At 35.5% G+C, this 21945-nt stretch overlaps 1 protein-coding gene across 15 annotated transcripts in view, besides 2 other annotated features; it reads right to left on the reverse strand.

The window, feature by feature from the left end:
* The window catches only part of MAGI2 (membrane associated guanylate kinase, WW and PDZ domain containing 2), a 1436613-nt gene that overhangs the window by 447250 nt on the left and 967418 nt on the right, over positions 1-21945 (reverse strand). The window lies entirely within an intron of this gene.
* Positions 1315-1815: an enhancer, noted in NCBI's record as "H3K4me1 hESC enhancer chr7:78094936-78095436 (GRCh37/hg19 assembly coordinates)". NCBI's record gives its function as "activates a minimal SCP1, AML or CMV promoter by ChIP-STARR-seq in primed H9 embryonic stem cells {active_cell/tissue: H9 hESC(primed)}" and the evidence as "EXISTENCE:reporter gene assay evidence [ECO:0000049][PMID:30033119]".
* Positions 1816-2316: an enhancer, noted in NCBI's record as "H3K4me1 hESC enhancer chr7:78095437-78095937 (GRCh37/hg19 assembly coordinates)". NCBI's record gives its function as "activates a minimal SCP1, AML or CMV promoter by ChIP-STARR-seq in primed H9 embryonic stem cells {active_cell/tissue: H9 hESC(primed)}" and the evidence as "EXISTENCE:reporter gene assay evidence [ECO:0000049][PMID:30033119]".

Consider the following 21945-nt stretch of genomic DNA (forward strand, 5'->3'; position numbering starts at 1 on the left):
TTACTAATAACATCTTTGTTGTGAAATCCAGTGGACAATTTTTAGTTCATGCCTTACCTGACTTCACTGCAGCATGTATCATTACTGATGACTTCTTACTTTTGGAAGCCCTTTTGCTTGTCTGGCTTTTGTGTCAACCCTACTGCTCATATCCCCCTATACCTGTAGCCCTTTTAAAGGCTTCTTCCTGAGTTTCTCATTCTGGGGGTTTTCTCCAGGAACCAACAGCAAGTAAGACTCAAAAGTGTTCATAAAATTTAGCTCATTTTCAAGGGAACAGAAAAATTAATATTGTTCAAAAGAACAATATTAATCTACAGGCCAGATTTTAGAAAAAAGTTATTCTACATATTAATGACCCACATAAAGTACATAGCTTGTGTTTTTAAATCCTAGGTCAAATACTTTTTTTACAAAATAAGAACCTGATTTTTTTTTTTTTTTACAACAAATACATGCAAAAAATGTATTTCGTTAAGCAGGGATAGTCAGTCATTCTGGATGGTACTTGAACTTTTCAAATTCCCATACCATTATTCAGCTTTAAGAAATGCTTGATGATGAGCTAAAGGCAAGCATGTGTGTTTTAGTCTAAGAATATTAATACCATTGCTATCAACCCTCAGGAATGAGTTTATAAATTCAATAATACTATCATAGTGCGTATTATAACTATGCTTCTATAATCAGTTTTCCTCATATTATTTCAGAATACGAATTGAAAAAGTTACCTATTATGACATATGCAAAATAACTATAGTTAACCTGGGGAAAATACAAATAATTTATCAGGCAAAAAAACTCACAAAACAACAAAAAAAGTTTTCTGTGTCCTCAGCGTTAATTCATTAAATTCAGTGAATCTGGGCTTCACATACACACACATATGGCATTAGTGAGCTAACCCAGTTTGTACTGATATGAGCAGGTGTCTGTAGGTAGGTCATTCAAAGTCATCATAAACCAGGGCAGGGTTCCTAGCATATGAATCTTAAATTATAGACACTGGTATTACAGAATAGCAATGGGCACATAGAGACTATGTCTAGATAGAGGACTTTTGGCATGTTCCTTACTAGAGAGCATGAGGTTTACCTTGCACAATAGGGTTTATCAAGCCATGTACTATTAACACGTGCATTTCATTATGAGAAATCCTTAGGCTATTCTCTGGAGAAGTTGCTGTTTCAGAAATTTTAGGTGTCCCATATGGCATGGATAAGGATGTAATTATGAAAAGATGTAGATTATCACAGAAAGATATACCTTTAAGTTATTTTGCCCAAAACTAGCAAATCTGAGGTTTCTTCCAGACCATGAGGACCTGATAAATAGTTTCTTTTCTGAAAAAGAAATGGAATAACTCTATGAAAGAGGCTCTAAATGGGAGGCAGAAAATGAAAGAAAAATGTATGTTATTCCATGGCTATGATTTCTCTGCTTAACTTTCAGGGTTAAAATATTAGCTAGCTCCATCATCATCCAGTCAAATCCGTAAACCAAATCCCTTCCTCTTTCAGAATACCTCTTACTTTAGGTTCTCATCTCCTGAGTAGACTATTGCCATCATTTCTCTGCTTTAACTTAGTCTATGCACTTCGGCCGTAAAGCAAGACAGGAAAATACAGTTTGGGATAGATGAATGTTCAGCACCAATCATTTAAAAGGGGCTGTCTTACCTATAGGACACACTTCTAAATATTATCCTGACCTCTTTCATGGACCACTCCAATCCGGCTTCAACCACTTGCTCTTAACATCCTCCTTGCTAATCAGGGCCTGCATCACAGTGAAATGGAATTTGTTAAGCCACTTTGCCCTCAATTTGCATGAAATTCCATTTTCCTGACTGCTTTCTTACCCTTAGGAACAACTCCAGCATCATACCTTATTGAGCCCCTTTTCCGATCTGCTATTTGCTCAGCCCCTACTTTGTGCTCCCTTTCCACTCAGCCTAACACGGAGCACAGTGAACTGTAATCACTGATTTTATTTCTCTAGAAAGAGGACAGATTCTGTGTCCCATTCCACTTTGCACTGGAAGTGCCTCACTTGGGCACAGGTGTGAACACAAGCTGGGAATGCAGGAGGTATTTTAAAATCAGTGATTGCGTCCATTCAAATTTGTCCCAAAGGAGAAAAAACTGTTTGTGAGGATTTATGTGTTTGCATGCGCCTAATTTAAGTGTGTTATTTTGAATATATCAGAGATAAATTGTTTTATAAATAACTAAAATAGGTGGTGGCTGCCAAAAGAGGTGTTAGAAAAAGCTCTCTACTTGCCTTTTGTGCTTTAAAATGACAGTTTTAAATGGTGCTGCTGTAGGGAAACCTGGCTGGAAAGTAAACTGTGAAAAGGTATAGGCAGGAAAATTGCTGGTACTTACTGAGGGCATACTACGTGGTGGGGTGGTTCTAAGTGTTCTGCAGGTATTAACTCATTTAATAGACAGGATAATCCTACAGTGTAGACAAGATCATGGCATAGGGTTGCGTGACTGGGCTGCTTGTTGAAAGGCACTCGGCAGAGAGTGGGATGGGGCAGAAATCCAGCCCTCACTCACTGCATCCTGTTCTGTGACCTTGCCTGGGACTCTTTCTTTGCATCAAGATACCTTTAGGTAGTAAAATTAATGGGTATCTGTCCCGGTGATATACTTTTCCCAAATTCACACAAAAGCACAGAATAAGCAAGTGGCGTTCCTAGTGGTAGGCACTATAAGTATTCAATTTACAGTTGAGGAAACTGAGGCACAATGAAGTCAAGAAATCTGCCAAAGTTTATATAACTAGTAAGGGACAGCGAGGAGATGCAAACCCAGGCTCATGGCTCAGAGACTGCATGCTTATTCACTGTGATATGCTGGTTCTCTGTCACATTTGGAGTGCTTTGCCCATGCTAGTTTACATTCGTTAAATTTTACATCTATTAACTAACTTAATCCTCAAAATAACCTTAAGGAATCAGCCCCTAAGGATAAACAGCTATGCCTTGGCCCCTGTAATCCTAAGAGATGCCCCTTTGTGGGCATGGCTGTCCCTGGTGAAAACAGAGGCAAGGAGATACTTCACTGATCAGAACTAATTGGCTAATTGATATGCTTCAGACATTTTGCCAAGAAAAAGAGAGTTTAATTAAAACAAAAAACTATCAGTAGTACTGGGAGTTAAACTAGTGGGAGCTGAGAAATGTAAGTCAGAACTGAAATTAAAAGAGATCTAGAAAGCTCCAACAATATACTTAGAGGGTATTATTGGCAGAGTGATATACTAGATAAAACATAGATAAGAAAGAGTTGAATTTGTCAATATAAAATGCAATTTGGTGTGAGATAAAAGCAACACCTCATATTAGAAAGGAAAAGTACTAAGATAACTGAGCTGATATTTGAAAAAACAAGTTGAATTCTTATATATGTGTGAAATGACTTACGTACTAGGTTGTTTACTATAATAACATTTTTAATAGCAGAACATTAGGAGAAACCTAAATAGACAAAGAAAGTATGTGAAAATCTCATAAGGAAAACTGCATAGCTATTTAAAAACAAAATTTAAAAAAAGGTCTATATAAATTGTCACAAGATATCTTTCTTTTGCTTTTTTATGCAAAAAACATATCTCTAGAATACTATATGAGAAACCAATAAATCTGGATATTTCTGGAGAAATATTCTGGGTAGCAGAGGGACAGAAGTGGAGGGAAAAGTTTTCACTGCTTATCATTTTGGGCCATTAACAACTTACCTATTCAAACAACCTAGAAAAACAAAACAAAACAAACTTTGGTTTGACTTTTACTTAGTGCAACTTTGGGCTAGTTTACTAAATTTGCAGAGACTAATTTTCTTATTTGTAAAATGACAATTATAATTCCTGCCTCACATAGTTTTATCAGGTTTAAGTAAGATAATATATGGAAAGATTCTATAACATAACCTGACACATAGTAGAGAAATAATGGTTCCCTTGACTATCACTTTTCTTTCTCAGGGGATGCAAACTCCAGTGGCTACTAACTAGTCCAGGCAGACAATATAAATGCGTGACATATGTTGGCTGTATGAGATTAGGGAGTGGTAGGGCATGTGACAACTTAAGGCATTCAAATTATTCTATGTGTGTATATCAAATATAAATTATACATATGCTTATATATTATATATGTATATAAAGTCTTATGGCTGTCATTCTTGCTTTTACATAGGGATCTGCATGTTATAAAATTATTTCACAATGTCTGTTTCAAGCCACTGAAAAATCATTTCAACTATATTGCACAATTAGAATATTATTTTTTTAAATTGGTTTCAAGTTATAATTTTCTCTAAGTTATTTAATATAATTGGCTTTGCTTTTTCATAGAAAAAAATCATGTCCATGGAAATATATAGCTACTGGTTGCCAAACCACAATTGGGAGGTTAAAAGCAAAGGACGCCTCTGATATCTTGGCTACTATTCTTTGTGACAGACTTGATGGATAAGGTGGTGCTGCTTGCAGCTAATAAATCTGATTGAGGTAGGAGTCTGGCAGAGGTGACACAAGTTTAGCCAAGTCAGAAGGTTAATAATAGCAAAATCACACACGGGTGGGCAGGATCATGGTCAACAGTTACGAGAGGAATTTCAGGTACCATGTTCAGATTTAAGGAAGCAATGATTCAACAACATTCCTTGCCTAAACAATCCTTCTGTTTCAAATAAGTCAATGTTAAATAAACAATAAACCAGTGACCAAATTAACATTTATTCTCAATCGTCTGGGGAACTTCATATTCTCAGAAAACAAGTTTAAATACAGTTTATGATATATATCCATTTGACACCTTACACAAATATGTATACTCTCTGTAAACTAAGCACATCATTATTAATTTCCATATGAAAATAAATTAAGACTTGCATAGGCTAACGTAACTGACTACTATTCATGAAATAGCCTAGAACTAGAATCATTAGCCATATGGAGCAAATGGGAAGTAAAGCACTGCATCATTTTATTTTTATTTACTTATTCTGTGTGGACACCTTCCTAAACTCTAGAGAGCAGAGAGAGTCTCAAAGATGAGACAAGGTCCTTGATGCTGTGCCATATGAAATAACCTCCACTTAACATCATGTTTCTTTAGTCAAGAAGAATTGAAGAACATGTGCTACACAACTGTACACAAAGTCGCCTAAGTGAAAAGCTATCCTTAGTCCATACTAATGAGACAGTATTGCTTTTCTCTCTTTGGGATTAGCCCAGGTAAAAAAAAAGACTGGTTATGCCACATGCAAATTTGAAGACTTCTCTTTATGAAATAGTTAATTTTGTTTCTCCCAATTATCTTTTTAGAGGCAGACTACCTTGAATAGTAGTGCAGGTCTGGAGCCTACTATTTTGGCCTTATGTGGGAAAAACTGCATTATATTAACTTTACCTCTGGGATGAGATTCCTGATATTCCAATTTAGAATCCTGAGAATACTGGATCTCAGCCCACTCTCAAATACTCCTGATTTTCCTTCCCCTCATCTTTCCTGTAATCATCGCAGGATGGGATAATAAAACGAAAGGAAATCCTTTCTTTATTTTTGCGTGCATGTTTTTCTTCCATGTCTACCCAGTGCCTAGCACGGTGCTTTTAAACCAAGGAATAGTCAATAAATCTCATGCAGAATATATAAAATGTGGCTTCGCTAAATGCCGTAGACACATGCAGTCTTCCTCCTCTGTGTTCCCTAAGCCTGCTGTGGAAATCAGCCCCTGCATTTTCTTTGAAAGACTCCAGTCATGCATCTTTCTCACTGTCAAGTTGAAAAACCACCTTAAGGATCATTTCTCATTTTTCACACCCAAGTCTCTAGCACAGTGCCTAGCATGACACTGGTGGAGAAATAACTGTTGACCCAAACACAACTGAACTTAGAGATATTGTCACTATCTTTGTAAGTAATATGCTACATTTTGTACCTTTTGTTCTGACCACTGTGGAATCTGTCATTTATATCCAGGCCACCCATTAACAATGGAAACTATGTTTAACCAGCACTGTTTAACTTAAAATGAAAATAACAGGAAATTGGGACATAAGTGATAATGACAAATTGGTTGGAACATTTTAATATGAAACAATGCATTGTTTCTCCTTTATTTAGTGGTGGGGATTATGAATGACTGACTGTTGAAAGATGTTTAAAAGATCCTGTATGTTTTTATTCTTAATGGAGTAAAGCTAATATAATTCACCTTTTTCGTTCACCATTTCCTTCTGATGTAACATAATTAATGCTGTAGATCATTTTTGGGCATGCAGTGATCAAAAAACAACATGAATTTTCCACTTTTAGGATGCTACACAGTATACATGGGCTTATAAAGTAATTTGGGCCAGTCACTAAAATTATTGCTTCCACAGAAAATAGAAACATAGAGAAGTGATAATTTTTCAATGCTTATGTGAGCAAATTTTGAAATGAAAAGAAAATTCCAATCTATTGGCTGAGCACAATGGGTCTGTTATATGGACATCATGTAACTAAGACATAAAGCTGTCATTTCAATGAGATAAAATACTTTACAATAAGGTTAGCTTTACTGTCAAGCTCAGGATATGTGAAATTAACATAAAATATATGTTAACGTGCCTTTGAGGTAAGCCATTAGTGGCAGGAGTAAATTTTAGTGGTTGACCAAAATGACTTCACAAGTCCACACATATCTTGTTCTTGCCTAAGAATGAAACATTTATATTGTTTTATGTATGTTTCTCATGGCCAAAGTAAGCTAGAGTGCCAATTATATTGTGTTAGAAGTGAATATTTTTTAAAAGGTGAATTATGCTTATCAGTTCTATTCCATTAAGAAGACCATACATAGGATGATACCATCTGTTGATCTTTTATAAGAGGAAATTTATCATGCTGTTTCAGTACTACTATCAAAGACAATTAAAGTGGAGTGAGACATGAGAAGAAAAGTCTGATGTGAATGGAGCTATATTTTCTTAGATTTAATTTTCAATGCCTTCTTTCCTAGAATAATTAACTGATCAAAAGTTTATTTCCCTGTTAAACAGTGATAGCACTGGGCTGTTGTGGAGATTAAAGGAGACAATATATGTAATACTCTTAGCACCCACAAATTACTCAATACATGGTAACTATTAATATTAAATACAGTAACATAAAACTAGTGATGAAGTAGAGAGCAAGAATGTATTGAATCACCTCTGGGGATTTTATTTATGATTAGACATACTTCTATGTATATTTCAAAGTATTTTCTTCCATATCGGAGTCTAAAGAAAAACAGTTAAAAGTTAAATGATACAGTTTACTTAATAATAGTAGGAGGGGCTGGGCTTGTGGCTCATGCCTGTAATCTCAGCCATTTGGGAGAACGAGGTGGGTGAATCAATGAGGTCAGGAGTTCGAGACCAGCCTGGCCAGCATAGTGAAACCCCGTGTCTACTAAAAATACAAAAATTAGCCAGGTATGGTGGTGTGCACTTGTAATCCCAGCTACTCAGGAGGCTGAGGCAGGAGAATCACTTGAACTCAGGAGATGGAGGTTGCAGTGAGCCTAGATTGCACCACTGCACTCCAGCCTGGGCAACAGAGCAAGACTCCATCTCAAAAAAAAAAAAGTAAGGGGAATTACAGAACAAGTTCACACACTCAGTAAGTGGCAAGTTCACACAGCCAGTAAATGGCAAAACCAGGATCTGAATCCAAGCAGTGTGGCTCCAGAGCCTATGTTCTTACGGACTATCTTGGTTTCCTCTCTGTAGTCACATGGCTGAGCACTCTCTGGATAGTATCAAGTGTTTACATAAACTAGGTTTGCAGATGATCATCTCTTATCCTTTTAAATGTTGCATCACAAATTTTTGCTGCTATTATGAATTTGCTGTCATGTAAAACTTTATTTTTCCAATCTGTATTAATGTCTTAAAACTGCTATCTCACATTTAGTTTAAAAAATAGTCATTTCTTTGCTGGATTTGCCTGCAAATTTATATACATATACCATACACAAAAGGAAAACATCCTTTGAATAGAAGTCAACAACTTTCAAGATAAAACAAATGTAGACAATAAATATTAATAACCTAGAAGCACTTGATAATATTTACTAGATCAAGAAAGTTACACTCTGTTTTCCCCAAGGCAGTAAAGGAGCCAATGAACATCTTTTTTAATAATAAGAAAAAAATTTAAGGATTGCACATTGCCCTTGAAGAAAGCTAAGCATTTAATAAGTTGAAGACACTTTTTACCATTCTTTAGGGAATACTGTATTTCTAAGAATGGCAGGTAACATGTGCTCTGAATGATACTAGCAAATGGTAACTGCAATATCATTCCTCTTAAAGTGATGTTATAAACCCAGTGGAATGTTGGGAGAGCACTCAAGCATTCCTCTAAGCATGAATTCCCAAGTTGCACAATAATGCTAAGTGCATCATCCTAAACATATGCTGTTGTTTGTGTTTTCAGTTTCTGCTTATGATAGCTATAGTGGTACTGATGCTTGGGTATCTTCTAGGAGAGGAAGCTGGTGAGCATTATAAATTCTAGGGACTCCTGATGGTTGTCTATCCCTGGGCTCTGCTGCATGCCTAGTGGCGAGGTAGTATAGGGGAAAGGTCACCAACTGAGGAACCACAAGGGAAGGATTCTAATTGCAGTTCTATCAGCAATTAGTTTGGGGGAAATTATTATACCTCTCAGAGCCGTGATCTCTTAAATGTGAATATTAATTTTTATTATTTCACAAAGTGCTCATTAAGATAACAATTGACATCTGTGAAAGTGCTTTAGAAAAAAAATGTTTTGTGAACAACAGATACCCACAAAAGCAACTGAGCCACAAGATCACAGAGCCCATAAAGTGACTCAAAGTGTTTCTGGATTGCTACCATCTGATCCCATTACTTAGCTATTTTTCAACTGACCTGCAAGCTTCTTGGCTGGGGCCCAGGACTACATTTTCCATAGCTTAAGACCATCATATGTAGGATAATAAATTGAATCTACAGATTTTTTTGATGGCACACAAGTGTTTGCCTCTGTTCTCCTACAACTTTGTAACATTTCTGCCTTTCATCTTCACTATGCTCATCTATTTTTATATTTACATATGACAATACACTTGCTTCAACCTCAGCTTTAGTCATAAAAATCTACTGTTCTCTCCCATCTATAACCTTCCTCCAAGTAAATCCACATGTAAAACAAGTTTCTTTCTCTCTCTCTGGTATGACGTACTTCTTCAGCCCTGTAAAACTCAGTGCAAACATCCATCTTCTAAATGAAGTCCTTCCTAATTGATCCAGGTGCATTTACCATGCACACTTTTTCATCATGCCCAATGATGTATAATACACAGACACACCTGACATACATACACACATATTTCTTCCCTTATGCAGTTATACAAGGATGCAGTGGTTTCCTTCTGGAGATCTAAACACAACACCTCTTCAGCCTTCCTCATTCCAAATAAACTCACTCATAGAAAGCTCTAAGTCAGACACAGACCAAATGAAAAAGCCCAAAAGTGGGAGGGAATAAGCTAGGGAAAAAGGAGAGTGAGGACAAATCTTAAACGACTTCTCTGGTCAGATACCTATAAAAAGTGAACTAGCCATGAAACAGCTACAACCTCCCCTAACTCAATGCTTTGGGTTTTCGTTACCATCTGTGCCCCTGTCATCACCAGAGAACAGTCTCTGACATATATCAGGTTACATACCCTGCAGCCCCACAATAACAACATTAACCGGTGTGTTTTAGGCTTTACAGTTTACAAAGGCTTTCTCAGACACTATCCCATATGCTGATATGACTATAAGATTAAACCAATGGGAACACTATCTTATTTGAGAAAAAAATTATCACGTATATCTCTATTTATATGCAAGTTGGGCTTCCTGTCTACAAATCGTGTAAAGGAAACTGTTGGCTTTACAGAATCAGGTATCTGGTAAGTTGCAAGTTGTGTAAAGACAGTGAAAAAGGAATCTATGTGATAGTGCATCAGCTTAGGAGATGGGATTTTCATTCGGCTATGCTCCCAAGAAAACCCACAAGCTGAATTTCAAACTGGTTGGGAAAGGTAATTTCAAAACCATGCTGCACAAAGAGCTAATATGACACAACTCTAGGTACTAGGATTATAACAAATTAAATATAATAGTGATTGAGGATTGCCAAGCCCTATAGGTGGACAAAGCAAAAGGCAGTACACTTTCAAAATTCAGAGTGAGATCTATACATTTTAAATAAACCTCAAACAAGCTTCCAATTCTATGAAGCAAAATTCTCTGTACAAAATAAAGTTTCCAGTAGAATCTGCATGGCAAATAGACAAATAAGATCAGGAGATTGTCAACCCATACATATACTAATGAAGACATAATCTTCTACCTGTAGAAGTTAATGAAAACTTCCCCACATAAAGGTGAGAAACAAATAAAACAGATTTGTTTTTCTAGAAAATATAGTGTATATATTATTTAAATAATATTTAATTTTAAATATTAACTTAAAACGTGCTCTCACAAACATAGGGAAGTCAATTCAAAGGAGAATACTCTAATGTTTTTGCTAAAAACTCACTTAAACTATTGGAAAGCTATTATTTTTTGTTGTAAAATAAAAAAAAACCCTGGAAGTCCACATCATGGTACTTCAAGTTTTATGTTGTTCATCTATCCCTTTCTTGGGTCATAATCTTATCAGGAGTTCCCTCAGTACTTGGGATTCAAATACATATTCTATCAACATACCAAGTTGGCGTTTGGACCTTTTTGAATTCCAGCCCTGAGGAAGATCCATGAATGCTACTATCTGAATCTTGTGTGTATGCTTTTTAAATGGGAACAACACAGTTTTAGTAATCAGAGTGGAATAAAGGAAACAATAGCAACAGCTGGCTTTGCTCTCAAGAAAAAAAATTAAATGGAGTGATACAAAAATCATGCAGCATCTTGAATGCAAACACATACACCATGGATTTATGCTGAATATGGAAAGCAAGGTAAAAGAATAGCTGGATAGTAAACTATTGTGAGCAGTGAAAGGTGACATCCTTTTAGGAAAAGGCAGTTTTAAGAGAACATATTTTATTAAGTATAAGAAATATTTTCCTCCATGAAGGATTTCATAGAGAAAAGTATAGAATAAAGATTAGAAGAACACAGGTAAGAATATAGTTTAGTAATAGAAAGAACTTGAAAGGAAAGGTAATATAACAAATACAGACCTGGCTAGAGTAGCAGCAGAAGATGGAGTGAACTGAAATTATCTAGAAATAATAACATCATAGAAATAAAGCTTAATAGAATAATGAGAAATGAATATAGCACTTAAATGTATTCATAATAGCAGACGGAATAAATCAGAGTTGGAAGGAAAAAGAGAGTCATCAGCATCTAGATGGGAAGTAAAGCCACAGGATTGGGAACAATAACATAGGGACAAGGGGTGAGGAGAAAAGAGAAGGTCACCAAATGAAGCAATCTAGTAGAACTTGAACATTTAGGAGTGACTCTAAATCCAGCCCATCTTTAAAATTCTGCTCAAATTCCATCTCTTTCACCAAGTCTTCTCGGAACATGCCTGGGTTCACAGTCAGTTGTTTTTCATTTCATTCTTGTTCGGTGGATGACTCCTCACATCATTGTTAAACTCTCCTCTTCATTTTTGAGGAGCTTAGCATACTATCTTCCCCACTATACTGCTCTTTGAAAACTGGGTTCAGAAGTTGTATTCATTTGCATTTTTCATGGCAAATAATTTAATTCTACAAGCAGAGAGGTTATCCAACAAGTGTCTGTCATATGGACAACCAGATCAACTTATTTTGTTTGCAGATAAATTGCATTAAAATGAGTAAAATGACTTACGATATCATGTAAGAACTAAGTACTAGATTGGAAGGAAAAGGCCACTCTTTTTTGTAGCCTCGAACCACTGGGCTGGGGTTGAGAGTAAATCAGCCTCAAAGGAAAAGTTTAGGTTAGTTAAACCAAAGTGAAGGCAAAGAAAGAATATAAATTAGAAAAAGTTGAAAAGATAATGCGGGAGAAAGTAAAATATTTCTTAATGAACACAAATACTGGGAAATCAGTAAAAAATGTCAAGGGTTAATTTTGTTGGCCAAATATGGAAAATAATATAATCTCCAAGAATTACAACTTAGTAGTAAGAAGTTCAGGGACAAACACAATCAACACAATTTCACATTGATTTTGCATTGCTGATTTGAAGTAGTACCTTGGGAATTGTGGTTCTAAATCTATTTAGGTTCTTTACATAGTTTAGGTATCAAAACACAAAATAATGTTTGCTCTTTGTTGTCTGAGGGCAACTTTATGTTCAAGGAGTTCCCACAAAGAGCACATAAAATCTTAAGCTGTTGGAAAGATAATTCCTGGTAGATATGGGTCTTTAACAGTAACATGGATAGCTGTGTGACTGGCATCACTCAATCGATATTATTCCAGACACTTTGAGAAGCTTGGTGGTTAGGTCACAATTATGCACTGAATTGTATCATAAGTGCTCATTTTTTATCTTCACTAGTAAAAAAAAAAAAATGCTTTTTAAAAAATCATCATCAGCCTTGGAATGCACTGTTTTATGATGCATAGCATTTAGGAAACCTCAAAATTACATGTACTGAGAGGGAAATCAGATCGTCTCACTTCAGCAACTGAAATTAAACCCCTCTTCTTTTTTCCAACTAAAAGCCATAGTTAATGTTCAATTACTTGGCTTTGGGTTGATGATCTGGATCTGTTTCTCCCATTTCTGAGAGAACTTTATATATTCAGATCAGTGCTTCACCTTTCTATTTTGCTTTCTGCATTGTTGAGCAAACCTAACCACCGAGGGACACTTAATGCCTGGCAGTGTGATTGACAGAGACTCACATTTAGCACTTACAGAGATTGTTCCAACATTATGTGGACTACAGTGAGCATTTATTTTTAAAAATTGTGAAGGCATAGAAAACAACAGAAGCTAATTCTTTTTTAAAATGTTGTAAGAACACTGAATGTAATACTTATTTTATAATACCTTTCAGAGAGGTAAATTTACCCTGTAAGTTTAAGAATTTTATTAGTCTGTTCTCACGCTGCTAATAAAGACATACCCGAGACTGGGTAATTTATAAAGGAGAGAGGTTTAACTGTTTCACAGTTCCACATGGCTGGGGAGGCCTCACAATCATGGCAGAAGATGAAGGAAGAGCAAAGGGGTGTCTTACATGGCAGCAGGCAAGAAAGCTCGTGCAGGGGAACTCCCATTTATAAAACCATCAGATCTCATGAGACTTATTCACTACCAGGAGAACAGTTTAGGGGAAACCGCCCCCATGACTCAATTATTTCCACCTGGCCCCGCCCTTGACACATGGGGATTACTACAATTCAAGGTGAGATTTGGGTGGGGACTCAGCAAAACCATATCAAGCATGTAAATTATATGACAATTAAAATAATTATAAAATTATATTGATCTGCCTATTTACTGATATGATGTCCTAGGGAAAACACTGAGAATATTTGAGAATATTTCCTTTCTTATGGGTTTTAAATACAAAGTTTTAAAGGAAATTTTATTTTTATTTTTTTATTATACTTTAAGTTCTGGGGTACACGTGCAGAACGTGCAGGTTTGTTACACAGGTAGACACATGTCATGGTGGTTTGCTGCACCCATTAACCCATCATCTACATTAGGTATTTCTCCTAATGCTATCCCTCTCCTAGCTCCCTATCCCCCAACAGGCCCCGGTGTGTGATGTTCCCCTCCCTGTGTCCATGTGTTCTCATTGTTCAACTCCCACTTATGAGTGATTTGGTATTTGGTATGCGGAAAACCAAATATGTGGTATTTGGTTTTCTGTTCTTGTGTTAGTTTGCTGAGAATTATGGTTTCCAGCATCATCCATGTCCCTGCAAAGAACATGAACTCATCTAAAGGAAAAATATTTAATCTAGTTTCCCTTAACATGTTTTTAGGCCTTAATGTCTCTAGTTTAAGCGTCTTGTGGTATTAAATGGTGGACACACATTGATATCCATTTTAAACTCAGATGACTTGGATCCAAGCCTCATTTTCTATTTATATTTATTAGATCAGACCCCTAAATCCTTTGGACTATAAAATAATTATCTGAAAAATGGGAGTTCAAAATCTCTACCTACATCACAGAGTAGATTCAACAGAGATAATGTTACGTGAGAATATTTTCAAGTTTTAAAGTACTGTTATCAGTTGGTACCAAAGGTCATATTTAGACATCTGGTTCCAAACAAGATGGTGTAGACCCAATTTTCCCATTTCCTCCTCTCCAAATACAGCTAAATACCCTGGAAACAATTCAACAGACATTCACAAAAGACCCTGAAAGGTGGAAAGAAGAAGGCAGGAATTAGGAAATGAACCACAGCAAATGTGTAGGATTTTCTTTTCTCTCCCGTATATCTTAGAGAGCACACCAGGAAGACCTTCAGCCTGGAATGGACAACAGGCATCAACAAACAACAAAAGCAAGAAAACAAAAGAGAAAAGCCTACTCTCCCTGGCCGAAGGGCAAGGAAAGGGGGAGAGTAACTGGGACGTGGGGGCAGCCTTTTTCCTGACCCATACCTAGAAGCAGTGTAGGTTCCTTTAACCTATAAGTGGTGGCATCAGTAGATCCCAGAAAGGGTAACACATCTTGTGTCCATAGTGGCAGCTGGAAGCACCTGCACTGGTGATGTCAGTGAACCCCTGACATCAATCCTGGTCAAATTTGGAAAATAATATAATCTCCAAGAATTACAACTCTGTAGTAAGAAGTTCAGGGACAAACACAATCAATACAATTTCACAGTGATTTTGCATTGCTGATTTGAAGTATTACCTTGGGAATTGTGGTTCTAAATCTGTTTGGGTTCCTTAAATAGTTTTTGTATCAAAACACCAAATAATGTTTGCTCTATTTTGTCTGAAGGCAACATTTATTATCAATTGGTACCAAAATCCCATATGGGTGACCCATCCTCTTCCCCGTACCTGCCTATATCATGTGGGCAGAGATAAGAGGCCAGAGAAAATACTTTCCATCCTACAGATCCAGTGTCTAACATCCCTACTAGTAATAACAGGTGACCTAGGGAAGTGCTTTCTGTAACTTGCAAGTGGCACCAGCAGGAATGTATCAGGAGCTCCCAAGTCAGGAGAACTAAGCAGACCAAAAATAGCATTGGGAAGAGCTCTGCAAGCTAAATGCATCTGAAACCACAGCCTACGAAACAGGCCAGAACCTACATACCAAACCAAAACAGGGACATTCTTGGCTAAAATGATAGATTTTATTTTAAATGTCCATTTAAAAATGGTCTGTATAATGAATGTCCAGGATAAACATAAATATAGGCCATGAGCCAGGAAAAACAAATTGGATGAGAAAAGACAATAAACTAATCCCGATAATCAAGAAAAATCAAGTATCAAATTTATCTGACAAGGATTTTAAATCAGCCATCATAAAATTGCTTTAACAAGCAATTATGAATTCTCTTGAAACAAAAAATCTCAGTAAAGAAATGGAAGTTATGAAAAAGTACTAAATAGAAATTACAGAATGGAAAAATAAAATAATAGGAATTAAAATCTTGCTGGGTGGGTCAGTAACAGAGTGGATATAACAGGGCAGAACAATGAAATTAAAGACAGATCCACAAAGTTTATTCAAAAAATTCAAAAACTTGAAATTGTTTCTAATTCACCAACTTGGAAGCAATGAACCAATTCCTATAAAACTATAAACTACCAAAACTAACAAGATGAAGTGCATAACCTGAATAATCCTGTAACCATTAAAGCAATTGAACTTGTAATTAAAATCCTCTTGAAAAAAATCCCCAGGACAGTTGTTTTACTGGAGAATTTTACCAAATATTTAAAGAAAAAATTGACACCAATTTTACACAATCTTTTCCAGAAAACAGAAGATGAAGGAATGCTTATCTACTCATTTTATGTGGCCAGTATTACCCCGATACCAAAACCAGATAAAGACAGTACAAAAAAAAATTACAGACCAGTATTTCTCAATAGACACAAAATCACAAAACATAGACACAAAAGACATAGACACAAAACACAGACACATAGACACAAAAATCCTCAATAAAATATTACCAAGTTAAATAAAACAGTATATGAAAAGAATTATTTACCATGTCCTAGTTGGACTTATCCCAGGTATGCAAGGTTGATTTAATATTTGAAAATCACTCAATGTAATCTACCATGTCAACAGCTTAAATAAGAAATATCTTATGATTATATCAGTTGAAAATAGTCTATGTAGAAATTACAAGAAATCTACCAAAAAATTTCCTGCAAATAAATGAATTCAGCAAGTACATGAGATCTATGACCAACACATGAAAATCAATCTCATGTATATATTCTAACAACAAACATACAGAGACTGAAATTAAAAACACAATACCCATTTACATTGCTCAAAGAAAATGGAATACTTAGGTATACACTAAACAAAACGTGCCATATATTTTTGCTGAAATTACGAAATGCTGATGAAAGAACTCAAAGAAGGCTTAAATAATTGGAAGGGCTTATCATGTTCATGGATTGGAATACTCAACACAGTAAAGATATATATTATTGTCAACTTAATCTGGAGGTTTAATACAATTCCTATGAGAATCCCAACAAGATTTTTGTAGTTCTAGAAAAGCTTCTCCTAAAATTTATATAAAATGGCAAAAGACCTAAAATATCTAAAACAATTTTGATAAGAGTAAAGTAGGAACTATCACTGTATTAGTCTGTTCTCACACTGCTATAACAACTTCCTGAGACTGGGTAATTCATAAAGAAAAGCAGTTTAATTGACTCACAGTTGTACATGGCTGAGGAGGCCTCAGAAAACTTATAATCATGGCAGAAGGGGAAGCAGACACATCTTACATGGCGACAGGTGAGAGGGAGAGTGTGTGTGAGTGCAGGAAAAACTACCATTTATAAAACCATTAGATCTGTGAGAATTAACTATCATGAGAACAGCATGGGGCAAACTGCCCCATAATTCAGTCATTTCCCTCTCTTGACACATGGGAATTACAGGTCCTTCCCTCGACACATGGGGATTGCAACTCAAGGTGAGATTTGGGTGGGGACATAGAGCCAAACCATATCAGTCACTCTACCCAAATATTAAGGTTTACTATATAGCTGAAAAATCAAGACAGTGTGGTACAAGTGAAGGGATAAACCCATAGATGAACAGAATCCAACAGTTTATGACAAAGGTGCACACACAATTCCATGGAAGAAGAATAGCCTTTTCAACAAATGGTGCTGGAACAGTTCAACATCCATAGGGAAAAAAAAATAGAGAACCTTAACCTAACTCTTATACATTTAACAAAAATTAACCCAAAATACACAACAGACTTAAACATAAAAAATAAAACTATACAATATTTAGAAAAAACATGAAAAAAAATTGGGACCTGGGGCTAGATTGAAGAGTTCTTAGACTTGATACCAAAAGTCTGATTCATAAAAGGAAAAATGATAATCTGGATTTATCAAAGTTAAAAATATTTATCTGTAAAAGATCCTGTTAAGGGGATGGAAATACAAACTGCAGACTTGGAGAAAATGTTCGTAAGCAACATATCTGTAAGGATATGTAAAGGAACATGTATACATAAGGAACTTTCAAAACTGAGTTTAAAAAGCAAACAACTGGCAAAAGACATGATCAGATTTGCCACTAATTAGGATATAGATATGACAAATAATCATATAAAAAGATGTGCAATATCATTAGCAATTAGGGAAATGCAAATTAAAACCAAAAAGCAGTATCTCTACACACCTGTCAGAATGGCTAAAATTTAAAAAATACTCATAACCTCAAATGCTGGCAAGGATGCAGAGGAATTGGATCACTTGTTCACTGCTGGTGGGAATGTAAAAGAGTATAACCATTCTAGAAAATAGTCTGGCAGTTTGTCCTAAAACTGAAACGCACTTAGTATATAATCCAGCAATTGCACTCTTGGGTTCTTAGAGAAGTGAAAACCTATGTTCACATAAAAACCTGTATGCAAACATTCATAGCAGCTTTATTCATTCATATTAGCCAAAAACTGGATACAACCCACAAGTCCTTCAATGGGTACCCTAAAACAGACTGTGGTACCATCCATGCCATAGCCTACTGGCATATTATACTGCAATAAAAAGTAGCAAACTATTGATACACACACTAGAATGTATTTCAAGAGAATTATTTTGAGTGGAAAGTCAATCTCAAAAGTTTACACACATTGTGATTCCATTTATAGAATATTTTTGCAACAAAGTTACTGAAATGAAGAACAGATCAGTGGCTGTCAAGGGTCAGGGATTGGTCAGGAAGAGGAGATAAGCATGGCTATGAAGGGGTAGCATAAGGGAGCCCTGAGGTGATGAAACACTTCTGAATTTCTATTGTGGTCATACTTATGTATAACTACACATGTGATATCATCACATGGAACTACACACACACACACACACACACACACACACACACACACACACACACGAGTACTTGTATACCTGGCAAAATATGATCTTGTATATATGTACTTGTATACCTGGCAAAATACAATCTGTAATACAATACATGTATATTGTATATATGTACTTGTATACCTGGCAAAATACAATCTGCAGATTGTACCATTATCAGTTTTCTAGTTTTGATATTGTACTGTATTTATATAAGTTAACATTGAGAGAGGCAAGTGAGGGGTGTCTAAAACCTTCCTGTAAATTCCTTAGTAACTTCTTGTGAATTTATAATTATTTCAAAATTTAAAATGTTTTTAAAAAGCCATATTTGAAAAATTTTGAAATCATTCTGCTACTGTGCAAAACAGATTTGATGATGTCAATATTATTTTAAAAGTTGTATGCATTGAGGAGAAATGATAATATACAATTCATTGCTCTACATGCAAGTAACTTGAGCAACTAAGAAACAAAGTAGGACAGAGTTTTGTAATCCTTACCTAGGCACTACTTTATAGCCACATGAAATATTAACAGGTAGAAGGGTAAAATACATAAATCATTGGTGCAGGAAGGATATTTAAAATACTTAATATCTTTTATGGTCTGGACATCAACCAATCAATAACAGATTCTGGGACCAACGAGAACAGATGCCAGCCACAACCCAAAATTTGGTACTGGTGCACGACAGTGGAATATCCATCCTACCTGATTTATTTTGGATAAATTGTATTATTTCCTCCACAAAAGATTTATATTCCTAAAATGTTGGTATTTCTGAGTACTTCTGACCCGAAAAGACTGGAAAGGGCACTATATTATTGGATGAAGCATATCTCAAAATGTTGCTAAAGCACATCATGATTAATACCAGTCAGCTACAAAAGAATTGTTTCTATTAAGATATTTGAAATTTCATTTTTTACAAACATATATGAAATATCAGTACAAAAACAAAATCAATTTTTGAAGTTTTAGTACTTGAATAGTTAATACTGTTAGGATCTTTTTATGAGTTCTTCCTTGAGGAAAGATTCCAAGGTGCTTTGCAAACATAATCTTAGCAGGTTTATCAGATTAGAAAGATAAATACTGAAAGGTAAAATTAATTTGGTCATACTTAATCTTCTTGAGAAATTAGGATCACTAATTATCAAAACAAATTTAATGAGAAAGGCCAAAGCTCCTATTTAAGGGAAGATAAACAATGTAATTTAGAAACAGAATCTGAAATATGAACACAAAAGTATGAATCTTTTAATCTGTGTGTCAGTTTTATAAAACTCATTTAAGAAATGAATTGAAACTAATTAGCGTTTTCTACTATTTCAGAAAGGCAACTTCCTTCTCCTGAAAAACATCCTGTTTAATATGTATTGTAAAGCATGGCGTATGCTGTCTTTGTTCATGCACATTTTGGACACTTTTTTAAAAAGATAGATTAATTAATTAGTTCAAAGCATTAGTTAATTCTAATTGAAATGCACTACTCATGCAGGTGAATGGGTTAAGATTATGTAATTTTTTTTCCTGTAGTAACATAAGAAAACTCACTTAAAATTCATACATATTGAATACAGAAACAAAGCCACCCAGTTCATGCAGATATAACTTCATGAAAATTTAGAGACAACTTAACAGGTTGAAGGGGGAAACCCCCCAGTGTATTACTCTCAGGCTGGAATAAGCTAGATGGATAATTTTAGCCTATATGGATTTGTTCATTTCCATTTTGCAAGGACATTCTATAGTAATTCAAAGTTGTTAAGGTAGGATAACTATTCTGAATTTTTTCCCAGTCATCTTCTATAGGGCTCATTTACTGTCTCAGAGTTTTACCTGAAGGAAAGAAAATGAGCAGTTATTTAGAATTTATGGTGCTAGTCATTGTGCTTCCAACATGTGAAGGTAAATCTGCATGAAAGAGGTACAACTCCCATTTACAGGTAAGAAAATCTGGGCTCCCAAAGATTAAGTACCTTGCCCAAGAACCCACAGATTAGGGTTTGGAACAGCTTTTCCTGACTCCAAATCTTAAACAATTTCTATTTCTTCTCCTGTACATTATAGTGTGATCCTACTGGGTTTAATAACATTTCAACGTTAAGAAAAGAATGGTCCTACAAGGCTTAATTCACTTTTGATATGGATTCTAACCCAGCAATGCTCATGGGATGTCAGCACAGAAATGGTTGTGATTGAAAATATCTCAGGAGGATCCCATATTACCGACTCTGAGAGGAGAAATATGATGGGGCTTTATACACACTTTAACCAATCTTGCATCCAAGGTATTTAGTGGTTAACTGCTGTTTCTGTGGCATTTTAAAAAAGACTATATTGGCTTGCTAAACAGCACTCCCCCAAATACTAATATTAGAATCCAGTAGTAGGTGGAGACATTTTTTTCTGCCATGTAGACTGCTGCTAAAACTCCAAAAGTGTACAGAGCTATGACAAATGCACAGAACATAATGACTTCAGTATTTCCAACCCTATTGTGAGAGAAGGAAGTATGTTTTTATGTTTAGTAGCAGTATTATCCTTTAAGTAAAAAGGCAAAATGATTGCTTTACTGTCAGTAGAATAAGTGCTTGTTTAATATATATTTGTACTGAGCCATCCATGTCCTGTTTCTCCTTAATACCAATGAGAAAACTTTTGTTAGTTTTTTCTCTAGTCTAGTTAGTATCCCCTCTCATCTCTCTTTCACTTGTATTCCTCTTATATTAATTTAACAGGAATTAACTTTACTCATTTATGTAAACAGATCTGAAGGTGCAAACATTTCCAGATACATATCTACACATACACTACATACCTCCATACATTCATAAATAGTAAGCACACATATATGACAAAATAATATATAATCTTCAGTTATTAAAATATAAATTAGGATAACAGTGAAGATTTTATGACATCCAGCCCAGTAACATCCAAAATGTACAATTTTAAAATTACTGCACTAAAATTTCTGCTACCAGATAGGATGGAGTAGCTTATTAGACATGAGAAAACAGAAAGCCTAGATAAAATGTAAAAAAATAAGCAGTTTAAAGAAATCAGAAACTAGCTGAAGCAGCGTGGTCTAGAAGGTCTAAGATTCTCAAAAGGGAACCCTGGAGAGGTGAAGGAAGAATTTGCAGCTGCTCTTGTTGTGTCTGGGCTCTTAGAACAGTATAGACTTGGCCTGGGAAGAAGGCCGCTGCTGGACATTAAAGAAACCAGAAGAGTGAGGAATCTTGAGGGACTGGAGTGACAAACATAGATGTGAGAGATTTCAAACAGTCAGTCAGTTATCTCCTGACATTTGTCAATTCTGGAGCTGCAGGATCTAGAGGCAAAAGAGT

This window comes from Homo sapiens, chromosome 7 (assembly GCF_000001405.40).
Source record: "Homo sapiens chromosome 7, GRCh38.p14 Primary Assembly".
Lineage (NCBI taxonomy): Eukaryota > Metazoa > Chordata > Mammalia > Primates > Hominidae > Homo > Homo sapiens.